The sequence below is a fragment of the Homo sapiens genome, chromosome 9 (assembly GCF_000001405.40).
Source record: "Homo sapiens chromosome 9, GRCh38.p14 Primary Assembly".
In the NCBI taxonomy this organism is placed as follows: domain Eukaryota; kingdom Metazoa; phylum Chordata; class Mammalia; order Primates; family Hominidae; genus Homo; species Homo sapiens.
This window is the reverse complement of record NC_000009.12, coordinates 17,738,525-17,757,481: the sequence shown is the minus strand read 5'-3', so window position 1 is coordinate 17,757,481 and position 18,957 is coordinate 17,738,525. Positions and strand designations below refer to the sequence as shown.

Below are 18,957 nucleotides of genomic sequence, written 5' to 3'. Positions count from 1 at the left end.
TGATGGGGTTGTTTTTTTCTTGTAAATTTGTTTGAGTTCTTTGTAGATTCTGGATATTAGCTCTTTGTCAGATGAATAGATTGCAAAAATTTTCTCCCATTCTGTAGGTTGCCTGTTCACTCTGATGGTAGTTTCTTTTGCTGTGCAGAAGCTCTTTAGTTTAATTAGATCCCATTTGTCAATTTTGGCTTTTGTTGCCATTGCTTTTGGTGTTTTAGACATGAAGTCTAATGCCTTGCCCATGCCTATGTCCTGAATGGTATTGTCTAGGTTTTCTTCTAGGGTTTTTATGGTCTTAGGTCTAACATTTAAGTCTTCAAAAAGGGGGCAAAGGATAGGAACAGACACTTCTCAAAAGAAGACATTTATGCAGCCAACAGACATATGGAAAAATGCTCATCATCACTGGCCATCAGAGAAATGCAAATGAAAACCACAATGAGATACCATCTCACACCAGTTAGAATGGTAATCATTAAAAAGTCAGGAAACAACAGGTGCTGGAGAGGATGTGGAGAAATAGGAACACTTTTACACTGTTGGTGGGAATGTAAACTGGTTCAACCATTGTGGAAGACAGTGTGGCAATTCCTCAGGGATCTAGAACTAGAAATACCATTTGACCCAGCCATCCCATTACTGGGTATATACCCAAAGGATTATAAATCATGCTGCTATAAAGACACATGCACACGTATGTTTATTGCGGCACTATTCACAACAGCAAAGACTTGGAACCAACCCAAATGTCCATCAATGATAGACTGGATTAAGAAACTGTGGCACATATACACCATGGAATACTATGCAGCCATAAAAAATGATGAGTTCATGTCCTTTGTAGGGACGTGGATGAAGCTGGAAACCATCATTCTCAGCAAACTATTGCAAGGACAAAAAACCAAACACCGCAAGTTCTCACTCATAGGTGGGAAATGAACAATGAGAACACTTGGACACAGGAAGGGGAACATCACACATGGGGGCCTGCCGTGGGGTGGGGGGAGGGGGGAGGGATAGCATTAGGAGATATACCTAATGTAAATGACGAGTTAATGGGTGCAGCACACCAACATGGCACATGTATACATATGTAACAAACCTGCAAGCTGTGCACATGTACACATACTCTAGAACTTAAAGTATAATAAAAAATAAAAATAAAAAAAAGAAAGTGAAACTGTAAATATATACAGATACAGGCATGTTTTTTAGGTAATAAAAACTTCCATTTCTACTTCTTTAAATGGTTGAAAAAATTTGAAATGAGACTACTATTTTACTGCACAAAATAATTATTCAAATTTCAAATTCACATTTCAGCATCCTTAGATAAAGTTTTGTTGGAAAACAGCCATACTTATTCATTTAAACGCTGTCAATGGACGCTTTTGTGTTTTGACAGCATTGGCAAGGAGTTGTAAGAGACCACAGAGACCCTCTGGCCCCAAAAACCTAAAGCACTTACAAAAAAATCTTGATTCCTGTGCTAGGTGCTAGCTTCACTAATAATAATGCCATGCTGAATCTATAGATGATACTGATTATTTCACCAGCTGTCTCAGTCTTTAGAGACAAGATACTAAAGAATAGAAGGCATGGAAATGACTAGAATGGGGTTACTCTTCCAGAGACATGGGAATATTACCTTTCTTCCCTGAAGAAAAGTTGGTATTTCCTGAACTTAGGTGTAAGGACTCGTGAACAGCGTGGCGTTGTTTGTGGAGCAACAAAAGGACTGAAAGATATGATTTCATACTATTAGATACCACATTATACCAGATGCTGTAGCAGAGCAAAAGTTTAAGAAAAACATAGACACCTTAAAGGGAGCACCAACACTTTGTGAGTTTAGTGATCATTAATATATAAATAAATTCAGTCAGTCATGGTGGCCCATGTCTGTTACCCCAGTGCTTTGGGAGGCCAAGATAGGAGGATTGCTTAAGGCCAGGAGTTCAAGACTAGCCTGGGAAAAAGTGAGACCCCATCTATACAAAAGATTTTAAAATTAGCCACAAAGATACAACAAAAAAGAAAACTTCAGGCCAAGGTCCTTGATGAACACTGATGCAAATCCTCAATACAATGCTGGCAAACCAAATCCAGAGGCATGTCAAAAAGCTTATCCACCATTATCAAGTAGGCTTTATCCCTGGGATGCAAGGTTGGTTCAACATATGCAAATCAATAAATATGATTCATCACATAAACAGAACTAAAGAAGAAAAACACATGATTATCTCAATAGATGTACAAAAGGTTTTCAATAAAATTCAACATTCATTCATGTTATAAAGTCCCAATGAGCTAGGTATTAAGGGAATGCACCTCAAAACAATAAGTGCCATATATGACAAACCCATATCCAACATCATACTGAATGGGCAAAAGCTGGAAGCATTTCCCCTGAAAACCGGCACAAGACAAGGATGCCCTCTCTCACCCCTCCTATTTAACATAGTATTGGAAGTCCTGACCAGGCCAATTAGGCAAGAGAAAGAAATAAAGCACATCCAAGTAGGAAGAGAGGAAGTCAAGCTATCCATGTTTGCAGACGGCATGATCCTATGTCCAGAAAACCCCACAGTCTCAGCCAAAAAGATTCTTAAGCTGATAAAGAATGTCAGCAAAGTCTCAGGATACAAAATCAATGTTCAAAAATCACTAGCATTCCTATACACCAAGAACAGTCAAGCCAAGAGCCAACTCAGGAACAATCTCCTTCACAATTGCCACAAAAATAATAAAATACCTAGGAATACAGCTAACCAGGGAGGTGAAAGTTATTTATTTATTTTATTTTTTTGAGACAGAGTCTCACTCTGCCGCCCAGGCTGGAGTACAGTGGCGTGATCTCGGCTCACTGCAAGCTCCACCTCCTGGGTTCAAGCCATTCTCCTGCCTCAGCCTCCCGAGTAGCTGGGACTACAGGCGCCTGCCACCATACCCAGCTAATTTTTTGTATATTTAGTAGAGTCAGGGTTTCACCATGTTAGCCAGGATGGTCTCGATCTCCTGACCTCATGATCTGCCCACCTCAGCCTCCCAAAGTGCTGGGATTACAGGCGTGAGTCACTGCACCCGGCCAAAAGTTCTTTACAAGAAGAACTACAAACACTGCTGAAAGAAATCAGAGATGATACAAACAAATGGAAAAACGTTCCATGCTCATGGATAGGAAGACTCAATATCATCAAAATGGCCATACTGCTCAAAGCAGTTTATGAATTCAATGCTATTCCTATTAGACTACCATTAAGATTCTTAGCAGAACTAGGAAAAAGTACTTTAAAATTCATATGGAAACAGAAAAGAGCCTGAATAGCCAAGGCAATCCTATGCAAAAAGAACGAAGCTGGAGTCATCATGCTATCCAACTTCAAACTATACTACAGGGCTACAATAACCAAAACAGCATGGTACTGGTACAAAAACAGACACATAAACCAACAGAATAGAATAGAGATCTCAGAAATAAAACTGCACACCTACAGTTATCTGGTCTTTGACAAATCTGACAAAAATCAAACAATGGGGAAAAGATTCCCTATTCAATAAATGGTGCTAGGATAACTGGCTAGCCATATGCAGAAGATTGAAACTGGACCCCTTCCTTACACCATATACAAAAATTAACTCAAGATGGATTAAAGACTTAAATGTATAAACTCCGAATCATAAAAACCCTGAAAGACAACCTAGGCAAAATACCATTGAGGACATAGGCATGGGCAAAAATTTCATGAGGAAGACACCAAAAGCAATTGCAACCAAGGCGAAAATTAACAAATGGGATCTAATTATACCAAAGAGTTTTTGCACAGCAAAAGAAACTACCAACGGAGTAAAAAGACAAGCTATAGAATGAGAGAAAATTTTTGCAAGCTATGTATCCAACAAAGGTCTAATATCCAGCATCTATAAGGAACTTAAAGAAATTTACAAGAAAAAAAGCAAACAACCCCATTAAAAAGTGGACAAAGGACATGAATACTTTTCAAAAGAAGACATTTATGTGGCCAAGAAACATATGAGAAAACACTCAACATCACTGATCATTACAGAAACACAAATCAAAACCACAATGAGATAAAAAGTCAAAAAACAACAGATGCTGACAAGGTTGTGGAGAAAAAGGAATGCTTATACACTGTTGGTAGGAGTGTAAATTAGTTCAACCATTGTGGAAGATAGTGTGGTGATTCCTCAAAATCCTAAAGACAGAAATACCATTTGACCCAGCAATCCCATTAGTGGATATACACCCAAAGGAATATAAATTGTTCTATTATAAAGACACATGCACACATGTGTTCACTGCAGCACTATTCGTAATAGCAAAGACATGGAATCAACCCAAATGCCCATCAGTGAGAGACTGGATAAAGAAAATGTGCTACGTATACACCATGGAATACTATGCAGCCATAAAAGAGAGAGAGCAGGTTCTTTGCAGGGACATGGATGAACCTGGAGGCCATTATCTTTAGCAAACTAATGCAGGAAGAGACAACCAAATACCACATGTTCTCACTTATAAGTGGGACAAAAATGATGAGAACACAAGAACGCACAGAGGGGAACAACACACACTGGGACCTATTGGAGGGTGGAGGGTGGGAGGAGGGAGACAATCGGGAAAAATAACTAATGAGTACTAGGCTTAATACCTGGGTGATAAAATCATCTGTACAATAAACTCCCATGACACGTGTCTACCTATGTAACAAACGTGCACGTGTACCCCTGAAGTTAAGATACAAGTTTAAAAAAAGAAAGAAATTGGACCTCAAATATCAAATAAATAATAAAAATTAGGCAGGCATGGTGGTGTGTGCTGGTAGTCCTAGCTACTTGAGAGGCTGAGGCAGGAGAATCACTTGAGCCCAGAAGTTTGAGGTGATAGTGAGCTATGACTGAGCTACTACACTCCAGCCTGGACAATAGAGTGAGACCTCAATCTCCACATAAGTAAGTAAATAAATAAATTAGATAAATAAGTAGATGAATTACACACCCACTTGAAAATGGGTAACTCACAGTGGTAACATAAAAGAAATATTAAAAAGGCATATGAAAAACTAAAATATTTTCAAATTCTTAACTTTTCTGTCACTGAAGTTAAGAAACTACAACTATTAATAATGCATACACACCCACTTAAAGTACTGAGACTCCTGAACAAGAACAGCTCAATAAACAATCACAGAGACATGATGAAAACCGTGTCCTGGGAAGGTCTGTCTGGCAGCGAGATACAGGCAGGTCCAAGAGTGATGTTTTTAATAGTCCCCTGCTGACTCAGAAGAGTTAATCCATCTGTCCCCAAGCTGCTTTGATTTAAAGCATTATCTTATGTTTTCAGAAAGCCCAACTGACAAACAACGTGTTAAAAAACAAAAATAAACAAGGTTATTAGAATGCTGTGATTGCTCCAATGTATTTTTTTTGCTGTTAATCTTCTTGGTCATTACCTTTAATGAATATAAGCTTGGAACTATATATTGCAAACATGTAACTCAGAGGAAGCTTGTCATCACTGAATTTCAGACTAAGGAAAAAGATGTCTTCAAAGCTCATCTTGTTTGGAGCTCTGGCCCTTCTTACATCCCCACACCGGGGGGGTGTGTCTTAGCACAATGCTCCACGCCTCCTCCTTTCCCATCACACCATGAAGGAGACATTATGGGTGCACTCAGGGATACGTGTTGCTCAGAGCATTCCAGCTGAAACTCTACTCCTTTCTCTCCCCATTTGAGAGAGATCACTGGAATCCAAGTAAGAGTGACATCATTAAAAAGTGACATTATTAGTAACAAATTACTAACCACAAAACTCACAAGAGATGACTGGTGTGCCTCACATGATGGGAGGGAACTAGCAGGTCAGTGTGTGTTCCAACATGGGCGGTGGGAACAAGGGGGTCAAACATGGGCAGTGATAGGGAATTCAGTCATTGCTGAGGCAAAACACACACACACACACACACACACACACACGCACACACAAAAACACACACACCAAAAACCCAGCTTTGATAGCCAAAAGTTTTTCTTATATTGAGCCAGAATCTATCTCCCCATGGTTTCTACTCATTAATTCTAGCTCTACCACTTGGGCTGGATAGAAAAATTGAACCCCTCTCCACCCAGTGACTGAGTGTATGAAGATAATGACCATGGACATTTTCCTATTGGACTTTCTCCACACCTGAATCTGCCAATAATCCTCTCTTACTCTCATATGAAATGGCATTCTTTCTCAACAACTTGCTCTTCTTAAAACTCAAAGTTGCTCCTTAAAAAGAATCCCATTTTTATTAAAGGGCCTATAGACATGTTTCTATCCCTAGGACATCTTCTGGGTTCAACAGAAGGGATTTCCCACAATAATTTTCAGGCTGCAAAACAGATACTATATTCCTCAGCTTAGAATTCTGAATTAACCACATAATCAGGGACAAGAGACATGTTCAGGATTTAGCTCAGACGCCCTCTCTCTTCTAGGAAGCCTGATGTACCCAGCCTGAATATTCCATGGGAAACCTCCCCAGGACACCAAGCACTATGTTCTGTAAGGTACTGATTTACGTACAATTTTTTAAAAATCAAAACTGGAAGCCCCTTGAAGGCAGGGATACTGCCTTAACATGGAGGCACTTTCCAAGTAAATTAATGAATGTAACTGTACACACAACAAAAAACTACACAATCATTGCAGCAACTGAGGAAAATTTGAGAAGGAACCAGAGGTTCTTCAAATTTCCGAACTTCCTCTTAACAAAAAATCCTATAGCTTTTCAAAGAACAAATCCTCCAATGTTGCACCAGAGTAAGACATTTAGCCTGTGTTTAACAAAGCTTGTAAGCAACAGACAGCATTTAAAATGAAAACAAAAAGAATTCCATGCAAGGCACTTAGGAGAGAAATAATGATGGGCAGGGATCCTACAGAGACAGCACAGCCGCAGGATTCTATCCAATCAGCTCAGGGAGAGGAGGGCTGCAGAGCTAAGGGACACACATGATGATTTTACTGCATCTCAGCCACAGAGTGGCTGGGGCGGCTGATTAGAGAAACACCCCTAGGAAAACCCACTTCTCTCTCCCAGTAATGCTGCTTGAAGCAAACCTCTAATTTATTTCATTTTGTTATCTAATTGCACCTCCGAGAATACAGATGAGCAAAGGTCTCTCTACCCCAAATGCCTGACGAGCAGAAAACAAACTATGGAAAGGCAATTCTTCTGTCTGCTTGGGAACACTGAGCTCAAACATTTGTGTGAATAATCAATTAACAGGCGAGAAAAGATTTGAGAGTCTAAATCCAAAGCAAGTGCTTTTCAATTACCACAGAAATCTTATACTATTCATGTAAATTTAGCATGAGTGGAGGGTGCAAAATTTGCAATAGAGACAGAAACAAAAGATATACAGAATCAAAAAGAGTAAAACAATTGCCACACTGCACTGAAACCTAAATCTCTCAATTTATTCAGGTATAAACCCAAGTAAAGAGCCATGAGTGTGTTCTTCAGTCAATCAGATGTTTACTTTGCTGCAGGAGTATCTATATTTTGAAATAAAAGTTTCAGAAACATTTCTATAAATTAGGAGAAATAATCCTTATACCTTACTTTCATACTCAGAGGAAGGTCTGTTGGTATTTGCCTAAAGTAAAATGCTTGGAGGATTCTCTTTTATTTCAATTACTTTGCAAAACTGGCATATATTTCTCACCAAAATAAATCTCCAAAGGTCTAATTAGTTGCTCAGTGATAAATTCTACTCAGTTCTCCAAATTTCCTGTTCTTTTTAGTCTCATTTAAGAAACAGGAAGTTAGCTTGTCTCACTTTAGACAGTGAGCTGCCTAGCTTATTCCCTTTAGTCCTGGCAGATGCTAAAAGGAAGTGTCAAATTCTGATTCCTGGTACTTAGTTCCAAATTCCTAAATACCTGCCTAATCTTTCATTAATGACATGACATTGGCCACGTGGCAAACTATAAATGCTCTCCAGGGGTGAGGGGGAAGGAGGAGCATCAAAGTACAAGGAGGGATCAAGCAAGACTGGGTGAAGACAGAGGCGGATTAACCCATGGGCTGTTCAAATGAAGCGTGAGGAACTCCAATTTTATGGGCAGTAGAAGAGTCAAAGACAAGACATTTCTGGAAATGTGTGTCAGTTCCTGGAGTCTCAGATGCCGTAGAAGATGAATGGGTAAAATATTATTTCCAGAACTATGGATATTAGTGGCTACCAGCTTTGGTTGAGGATCAGGTGGTATTTAGAACCATCCAGAGATGAGAAATAGGAACCAATGCAGACTTTGGTCCAGTTGGAGGAAGTAGGTGCCAGGCCTCAGCTGTAAGAGTCTGGTTTTCCAGACTTCTGAAGGCTGGGACTCAGAATTCCAGTATAAAATCTCCTCACCACTGGGTATCCATCAGTGAGGTCTATCTCAAGAACTTAGCCAGAATGACCAGCTGGATCAATACTATGCAGTCTGATTTCACAGGACCCTGCCTCTTGGCAACTTATCTTTTTTTTTCAGGAACTCAACCGTTCCCTCTTGCCTGCTTGCATGCTGTTTCCTTTACCAGGCTCTGCTAACTCTTTCCCATCTTCACTTAACTATCAGGAAGGTTCTCCTTGACAATGCAGTATGGGTGAGTTTCCTCTGTGCTGGGCTTCTGTAGCTCCATTAGTTTTCCTCCTCGCCACGCTGGTCATTACTTGCCCCAAGTTTGCCCTCCCCACTAGACTACGAACTTCATGCACTCAGGAACCTTGTCTATATCCTACCTCCTGGTTCATGGAAGACACAAAGAAAATATTTATTGAATTCATCAATAAACTCACCAAGAGAAAAACTAAAAAGACAAGGTAGAAAGTACCTAGGATTTTTTTTTTAATTTCTCACACTACACTAATGAATACCTAGGAATTTTTTGTTTGACTCTTCATGCAAACATAGTAAAAACAGCAAAACTGAGGCAGCCTGTTGGATCTGATGTAGACTAAAACAATATCCAGTCCCTAAAAAACTTCTGGTAGAATCAAAATCAGAATATTAAAAAATTGCTTTGTTACAACGAAGTACAAAAGCAATATTCTTTACAATGTTTAAATGTGGTTTCTAGGTACCATAGTTTGCAACATCCTCTTCTGTTCAAGTACAGGATTGCTACTCTCAGATCCATTACCCACCACCCACTTAAGACCTAAAATGTTTCTGTGCACAATGTAACACACACTTTTAATCATAAGCCTAAATATCACCTGTTCTGAAGAGCGTTAAAGTAAAAGAAAAGTAAAAGCGAAAATATGGCTCATGTCCCAAGAAAAATAAAATGAGATGTTTTGTTCATCACTTCTACCCTCACTTGCTGAGAACCTACCTTTTAAGCAGAAAGCTAAATAATCTACATTATTTTTAAGCCTTAACTAAAATCCCCCAAATGAGTATTAGTCTTCTCATTTTACATTCACTTAAAAAGGGGCTCTGCTGGGTGCAGTGGTTCATGCCTGGAACCTCAGCACTTTGGGAGGCTGAGGCAGGCGGACCACCTGAGGTTAGGAGTTCGAGACCAGCCTGGCCAGCATGGTAAAACCCCATCTCTACAAAAAATACAATAATTAGCCAGACGTGGTGGTGCGTGCCTGTAATCCCAGATACTCAGGGAGCTGAGGCAGGAGATCGCTTGAACCCAGGAGACGGAGGTTGCAGTGAGCCAAGATCATGCCACTGCACTCCAGCTTGGGCAACAGAGCAAGACTCCATCTCAAAAAAATAATAACAATAATAATAATAAAATTTTAAAAAGAGGCTCTGATCAATAGATGGACTTTTGTGACACATGGCAGGAAGGGGAGTTTGGGCCAAGGTTGGACAAGCTCTAAAACTGTATTCTCTCCACTATACATGGCTGCCTCTGGCCAATCATCCAGTAAGGAAGGTCCTTAAAGCCAGAAAGTGACTTAAACTCTCCCAAAAACATTTGGGATGTCATTCTGCAGCTTCTTTTCTACGCATCTCACCCTAATTCAAACATCAGCTCAACACTGTCCTTATTTTTTTAAAATGATGATGAAACCCACCAGAAAAAGTTCATCGTGACCTTTCACCTTCACTGAGGTTTTGTCCTCAGGACAGTACAAAGGGAAGACAGAATATTTTACATTTTATGTTTTAAAACATACATGAAAAGTAGTTTTAAATAACAAAATGTAGTATTCTCAGAGACCAGTGGAAAACAGTTGCCCTCTCCCGTTTTCTCTTCTCCTCTAATTATGGTAGACATGTTTATGTCAAAGGGAACACTAGGCAGTAGTGAAGGCTTACCCTTTCCATCTCTTTGAAGTCATCATCTAGCTTGGTTCCTTCAGCTCCTCCAACCTTCTCACTCACTTTCTGTAGAAAATAACCACAAAGGAGAATTATTATAAACAGTTTCTTTAAAAAATGTGTTAGAAATTTTAAGCACTTTCACAAATGTCATCTAATGTAATCTCACAACCATTCCCTGACTTAGGTGGAGAGTCTCATTTTTATAGCAGCAAACTGTGGCTCTGAGGGTCTGAAAAACTTACTAAAGGCTATGCATCTGGTGGGTATAGAAGCAAGCATTCAAATTTGTATCTTCTGATTTCAACCTCAGTGCTCCTTCTATCAAACAAATCATTATATAACTACCTAATCCTAACATTTTCCTCTTGAAAGTTCTAAGGGACAACAGCATCATACAATAATCATTTCCCTCTGATAATGGATCTCAAATGCTACCTATGCAGAAAACTGCTGCTTCTTCAACCTAGTCCTAAATGGGCTATTGAACAGATAATCACAAACATCTATCAAACTGTTATGAAAAGAAAAAAAGTCTCAGCCCAGCTAATCTTCAGACAAAAGTACTTGTATAGTATAGTCTGTCTCATAAAGCTGTCTACATCCTTAAGTACATAAGCCAAAACATATAGAAAGCTGTTGAAGGCATTTCTTTGCTACTTGATCATTTTCCATTATGATACATTTTATGTTTGTCAAATAACAAATGCAAACAGTCACTAACCACATGTAAAATTCATGTTCATAAAAAATTAGGGCCGGGCGCAGTGACTCACACCTGTAATCCCAGCACTTTGGGAGGCCGAGGCGGGTGGATCACGAGGTCAGGAGATTGAGACCATCCTGGCTAACACGGTGAAACCCCGTCTCTACCAAAAATACAAAAAAATTAGCTGGGCGTGGTGGCGGGCACCTGTAGTCCCAGCTACTCAGGAGGCTGAGGCAGGAGAATGGTGTGAACACAGCGGGGCGGAGCCTGCAGTGAGCGGAGATCCCACCACTGCACTCCAGCCTGGGCGACAGCGAGACTCTGTCTCAAAAAATAAAATAAAAAAATTAGATACACTTTTATATTCTGAAATAATGATTCAAATTAAATACAAACGGATCACACAAAAGATACTCTGGTTTTATCAAAGACACAAATACTAAATGTTAATGGCACGAAGACCTTTTCATTCCCTTTAAAATACCCTAATTGTAAAGATAGATGCTTTTCCCTAAGTTGTCACTGTATTACATAAAGTTATCGCACACAGATATCAAAGTATGGTTTTTCATTTCCTTCAATAGCAGCTAGGTTGAGGGTCTTTAAGAAGATTCCTACCATGACCAACCCACAGTAAGCTCAGCAACAACCTGGTTTACCTCATTCCAAAGGGCCCCTGGATACCCTGCTCCATCTCCTGGCCAGGAATGCTCTGATATCTCCTTGTTGGGGGACCTGAGCTGTGTTGCTTACCCCCTCTATCTGTCCTTCACTCCCACTTCCTGCCATCGGGAAAACACTCAGAAGAGACCACTCTTAGGACAGCCACAAGTTGGAATTCTATCATCACTCTGGCCCTGCATACCAGATGTCACCCATTCCATCCCATCAGTAGAAATAGGAGAAATATGGCGCAGTGGAAGAGCATGACATGGACTGACCCCTCCATTCCTTGATAGGTACACAGAGCGGTTATGAAAATTAAATGGCATAAGAATTGTAAGAGCATATGTCTGAACCTACATGGTATACAATAAATCCTAGTTCCTATCTCTCACCAATAAAGTGTATATCTGTTTACCATACCACAGTTTCTCCCATCAGTTTATTTAACTGTTATTTCATACTTTAAGAAGAAGCTGGCAATTTTCCTTGACATAATACAATCTTAGGTAGATAAAGGGCAATGATTCAAAGTGAAAGGTTATTAAATTTGTATCACTGACACATACTTTCAATTTATCATTTAATATGTGTACCCAGAGAACTATATAGAACATTTATTATTACTACATTGAAGATGAGAAAAGAGAGGGTTGCATAAAGTCCGATACTTGTGTATAGTAGACATCTTTAGCTAGGAAGAATTAGAAGCAGTTTTTCCAGGAAAAACCCCTAGGAGTTTTTACATCCACCCAACAGCTCTGAAGAGCTGTCCGTGGTGCTGGATGCCTCCGTCTGAAGTTCCATTAGACTCACAAGGCTAGAGGTGTACCCACTGCCTTAACTCTTAATCCTTGATATCAGCCCTCTCACTTAACTTGTGCCCTGAGTGATGCTGACTGATGATCCCCTATTTCAGCAGTCTTCACAGATTTAGGATTTTTCTGACATCAATACCACCTAACCTGAAGCCTGTACCAACTGTGACCTTGTTTGGCAAGCCAGCTTCTTGGCCTGCATCCTGCATTCTTAAGGGTTTTTAGCAAACTAGAAATTGGGTGCGGGGGTTAGAATTCAGTTAAGAACCTACTAGGCCAGGCACAGTGGCTCACACCTGTAATCCTAGCATTTTGGGAGCCTGAGGCAGGAGGATCGCTTGAGCCCAGGATTTCCGAGACCAGCCTGGGCAACGTAGTAAGACTCTGTCTCTACAAAAATAAAAATAAATTAGTTGAACATGGTAGTGTGCACCTGTGGTCCCAGATACTCTGGAGGCTGAGGTGAAAGAATTGCTTGAGCTCAGGAGGTTGAGGCCACAGTGAGCCGTGATCGTGCCACTGCACTCCAGCCTGGGTGACAGGTGAGACTCAGACTCAAAAAAAAAAAAAAATTTCAAGTGCCAGTGAGTTGACGAGCATATTCAGGTTTAAGTTACAGAAACTCATGAATAGAGGGGGTCTTAAAGGTTATTAATATTGTCCCTATCACCAAACCAATTTTTACTGTCACACTGATTCCCTATCTCTCATTTTGCTCAGTGACAACAGTTCTGGCTCACATGTCAGTCCCCTCTTGTCTTATTTTTCAAGTACATGGTTTACCATTAAATTTGGGCTAGGAAACTCTAATCTAGCTGAATTCCCACACAATAAAAAATATTTTCTACAAAACCCCAAATCAATTGTTGTCTCCATTCTACATGGCTGTCTCCAATGTCAGGAAACTCACTATATTCCAAAATTCCATTTGTTGTCAAAGAGAATCATTATAGATAGACCCCTTCATGTGACCTGTGACCTGTGATATTTAATTTCATTTAAAAAACAGACACACAAGGAAATATATAGCTGAGAGATGCTTTCATTAATAGAGAATCCTGGTAACCCTGTGTTAATCACATTTTGACCAACTCTAGTGAATAAACCATTTCCCTTATCAAAAGCACAAGGGCCTACATCACACTTTCAATCCTATACTGTTAAATATAGAGTGATTTTAATTTCCCCTCTTCTTGCATCCATCCACAGCATAGCACCACAGTAGCTGCATCACTCTATCAAATGAGATACTTGGATCCCACTGGCCATTAGTAATTCAGAACTAGTCTTGATAACACAACGGGGTCAAATCATCAATCCATTGGCTTTAACTATTTGGGGTGTGTGTGTGTGTGTGTGTGTGTGTGTGTGTTCACAAAAGAGAGAGGGAAGAAGAGAGGGAAAGGAAGAAGGAGGGAGGAGTGCCTCAATGAGAATGCGAACAAGAGAGAGCTTTCCTCTTCTCTATAAAAACTGACATTTGAGCTGCTGAGAGAGACAGTTCACCAAATATAGCGAATGATGTTATTAGCAGTTATGTACTGATACACTTATACTGGCCTGAATGGTTGGTTGATATAAAAAATTTCTTACGTAATTAGATTCCTGGGGGAAAAAGTAATATTAAAAATAACATCTATATTGTTCTCTGGGCTATTTTTCCAAGTCACAAAGGAGCTAAATATATCAAGGCCCCGAATTTAACAGCAGACTATGTAACAACTGACTCATTCCTTAGGAGTATGGCAAACATTTTTTCTTCCTTTTCTTTAAATGTTATTAAAACTTCCTTTTGTTTTATGCATAAGGATCAAGGTGAGGAACACAGGCTTGTTGAGTCCATCTGGCCAATAATGAAGAGCTCTGTTTCTCCTTACCTGGTACTGTTTATTTGATGCTATTATTTTTCCACTGAGGTGATATCTAAAATTGACACTTCACAGTACTGAATGTTATCTGATGCCACTTAGTATACTTTGACTAACATATTTGCCATTTGAGAAACTGTTCACCTATTTAAAAGCAAAAGATATGCGAATCAAACAGAACAAGTGAACCAATATGTCCCCCTGTATCATCCAAAAAACTAAAAACAACTCCTAAAAACAACTCTCCTGTACCATTTAAAAACCTAAAAACATTGATGGTTCAAAACCTTTAATGGTGCCCATTTAGTACAGCATTGAGACTTTATACTTCTAATCTATTATACTTCCCATACACTCTGTATTCCAAACAAACTAAAAATCTCATTTTCCTCTTATTCTTTATCGTCTTCCTCATAAGAGGTATTCAGTAAAGATTTGTTGAATTTCACTGCAATGTAGTTTTGTGAATACTAATGTTAAGATGACTTAGAGGTAGCATAAATCAAGGCAAATAAGACTGCTCACCTCACTCTGGGATGGTATTTCAAACAGCTCAAATTTCAAAAAAGAAAATAAATAATACAATCAACTCACGTTTTAAATTAAAAGTCTTAATTTTAAGCCTGCAGTAGTGGATGTCTTATGCTATATTTTTTCCATATACCAAATAAGAAAAATGTCAAAGAGGACCACCAGCCAGCGACAGCTTAAATAAATGGCCACTGTTCTCAGCCCAAAGGATGTTGTCCTGCTTTCCAATAATGACTCATCCTCCCCCAGTTAGCTGTCACCTCTACGCAGAAGACATTCCATCCTCTAGGGGTGGCTCTGATTCTTCCCAGCATTGCATTTCATTTACTAAATGCTTAAGAGCCAACCACTGTGCCTCCAAACTGCCATTTAAAAAGGTCTCCTTGAAAACCGCATCATCAGTGAAATTCAATAGACTTAAGACCAAATTTATTCATACCTCCCACACTGCCAGTTTATTTACCTCTTAATTTCCCTGATTTTGTTCAGCCACTATTCATGATGCAAAGCCAGGTTTCCTTACCATCCACCAAATGTGCTGTTTGTTCCCTTTGCTTTGTACCTGAAACTATTTCCTTTTCTACTCTTCAAATTCTACCAATTGCCAAAAACGCCCACCCAGATGACACCTTCTCCATCATCTGTGACTCCCCATCTGAGCTGGAAGTTATCAGACTTCCTCTGTACTCTTAATGAGACATCATCTGTTGGATTACCTGGAACGAACTACTCGTTGAGTAAAACTGCTAAGCATATTTGCTCATATGAATTGTAAGCTGTTAATGGAAGAGATCATATATCACAGGTTCTTTTATTTGAAAATGTCTGAGACTTCAGTAATTAACACAGCGCTTGAAGAGCAGAGCAGAAAATATATATCTCAATGAATTATTCTAAAACCAAAAATTGCATGTAAGTTAAATAAGGACCCTTAACTATGAGTCGGCATTGGTCTGTATCTCTTAAGAGTTTAATCTCCACTCCAAAGTATATCTTTTACTCTATCAAAAACAGGGAAAGAGTAAGAAAATTCAACAAACTGTGTGATGTATTACATTTTACTTACAGCCAAGGCTAAAGAAAATTCTATCTTCATTTTAACTATTCTGCATTCATCCACTATACAACTTTCATTACAACTGCAATTAGTATTAATGACCTAATTATTTTCTTAATCTTGCTACCGTCTAAATACATGTATTTTAGTTTATATGCATATGCACATATTTGCATATATAAACACACACATATGTAGGCAAATGTGTTTTTGTGTGTATACCCACATACATTTGATAGAAAATAAACATAATACTTTTCCAAAATACTTTTTTGAAAAATCACCATAATTTTACTCATATTAAAACAGAATTACTTTAATTAACATTCTATAAATTAAGTATGCATAGGTTTTAAGAGTAGAAATCAGAATTCATAAATTATCCTGCCTAATCTGCATTATGGGGCAATCCATAAAATAATTTATTTATATGTACAAAGAATACCGTTGACAATTCAGTAAATGAGAGCCACTTTAGGCAAGGGTTTTTAAAAATTGGATTTAGAGTCAAGACACATGAATTCCAGTCTTGGAAATGTCACCTAATAGTTGCGTGAAAAAGAAAATGCCTAAACTCTTGCTGCCTCAATTTCTTCACCTCAGGAATGAAAACCAACATCATCTAACACTAGATCTGTTTTTAGAATTAGATGAGAAAATATGTGTAAAAGCACTTTGTCAACTGTCAAAAATCATAATTTAAATAAGGGATTATTATTCCTTAATAAGCAGTCTTAAATGAAAGATGGAATTTTAAACTGATTTCACACATTTAGCAAAAAAATCTAAATGTAATTTAAGTGCATTATTAAAGAACAACATTACTTAATGCACAAGCTCTTTAGAAAGACGAAATAGCTATCCCTGTAGGACACTACTGTATTCTCAATATTTATAGAAAGGCATCACCTCTGATAATAAATAAAAGACCATCCTCTGACTCTGTGCAAAAGTTCTTTGTTATTTAGTAAAGTACCAAAACATTTAAAAAATACAATACAATACAATACAATACAATACTTGATGACATATCAAATACTTAGAGGGAAACAGGAGAGTGAAATTTCAGCAGTATTCTTTTGGTATTTGGCTAAATATACATAGATCTTGTTTTTCCAGATGGTGGTATCCCCATGTATAATAGACAGGGTGGATTCACTTTACGCAGTATATGTCTCACAGCAGTCTTTCTCAGCTGTCATTAAGTTGGAATGCTTAAATGCCATGATGTTTTGAAAATGGATTTCAAAAAATATATATTTATTTTCCTATCCGGAAATTTAAGATTTTCTTAGAAAATGAGTAAAGGCATTTTGTCTATCTAAATTGAGATAATTTTATTTCTCACTATCAAAAAATTGTATATTTAAGAAAATTGGAAAGTTTCCTTTTATATAATATAAAAAACAATGATGTTCCCATGAATTCAACAGGATGAACACTGATTTTCTTTGAATATCTAGAGCTAAAAACTTTAAAATGAGTTTGAGTGAGTTAAGTACTTGGCCTTTTTCCCAGCTTCCAGCCTATTTTGTTCCTTGCCAAACACTTTATGGAAAATGCAGAAATTGATTTGTATGATGCTGTAACTGTTTCTGGTGTGGTTCACTGGGGTTAAAAGTAATAACTTTCTCAGCCCCATTTCCCCGAGGTGAAAAATTCCCATAGACTATGGGGCAAATTACTTAACATCCTTCAAAAGGAGTTGGAAAAATTTATAATAGAGGGATCATGCAGAGCTTTCAGCTCCTTCCTGGAAAGATGGTTTATAACTACATATTACCCACAGTTTCGTTTGCAAGGTTTCCTGTTTTTGCCTTACAGAAAATGTTTTGAGTATATACAATGTGCTGAATAAAATTAACTGGCATTTCTCTATTTTTCAACTCCCCCAAATAATTTAGTTCATCATCAGATAAGGGGCAATTTAAGAGGGCAGTTCAGCAAGCAGGGATGACATTTCCATAGTTTCCCATCCCTGGCAATAGGAAAAAATTTTATACATTTTCATAGTCCACTGCAATAAGCCATTGAAGTTACAGAAAATATAAAAAGACAGTATCTGCTAATAACAGACTCTAAGACTTGAGGTCAGATTTATGACATGTAGTAGTTTTTCGAATTCTATTTAAAGCTAGTCATAAATCCCCTTGAGAAAAAAAAAAGCAACTCATAAAGAGAAGAAAAAAGTGCTAATAATTACTTTGGGATTTCTGAGCTGGTTAATAAGTGGTCTAGAACCTAATGCCTGATGACTCTGTTGACAAGGCCAAAGCAAGTCAATCAGGATTTCTCATTTGTTAAGAGAAAATTTCTGGCTAGCCCCTTTCTACTAACCAGTTTTGTGAATTGAAACTACAAACTACCCTGGGCCTGTTTCCTCATCCACAAAATGGAGCCACAACAGGGTGGACCTGGGTAATCAGAAGAGTTCTAAGATACGTTACAACTACAAATTTCATGCTTATTTCTGTGACAGTGAGTTGCATGCATCAACTTCGCAAGTCTACAGTATCCACTTATTCAATCAAACTAATGCAATAGCTGTGAAGCTGTTTTGTGAAAATGGTTAACATCTACAATCTGTTGACTTCAAGTAAAGAAGATTATCCTTCATAATGTGGGTGGGCCTCATCCAATCAATGGAAAAGCCCTAAGAACAAAGCTGAGCTGACTCTGAGGAAGAAGGAATTCTGCCTCTAGACTGAAGCATCAGCTTCTGAGCAAGAGTTTCCAAGCCTGCTGACCTGACCTGCAAAGTTCTGACTTGTCAAACATAATCACATGAGGCAATTCCTTGAAATAAAATTATCTCTCTCTCTCTCTCTCTCTCTCTCTCTCTCTATATATATATATATAAAATCACATGAGGCAATTCCTTGAAATAAAATTCTCTCTCTCTCTCTCTCTATATATATATGTATGTATATACACACACACTTATGTATATATGTATGTATA

General features: G+C 38.4%; 1 protein-coding gene across 3 annotated transcripts in view; it reads right to left on the bottom strand.

The window, feature by feature from the left end:
* The window catches only part of SH3GL2 (SH3 domain containing GRB2 like 2, endophilin A1), a 218,059-nt gene that overhangs the window by 39,643 nt on the left and 159,459 nt on the right, over positions 1-18,957 (bottom strand). For all 3 annotated transcript variants that reach the window (NM_003026.5, XM_047423730.1, XM_011518005.4), the window contains exon 2: positions 10,348-10,416. In NM_003026.5, the coding sequence (NP_003017.1) occupies positions 10,348-10,416 (69 nt within the window). The remainder of the gene's footprint in view (positions 1-10,347; positions 10,417-18,957) is intronic.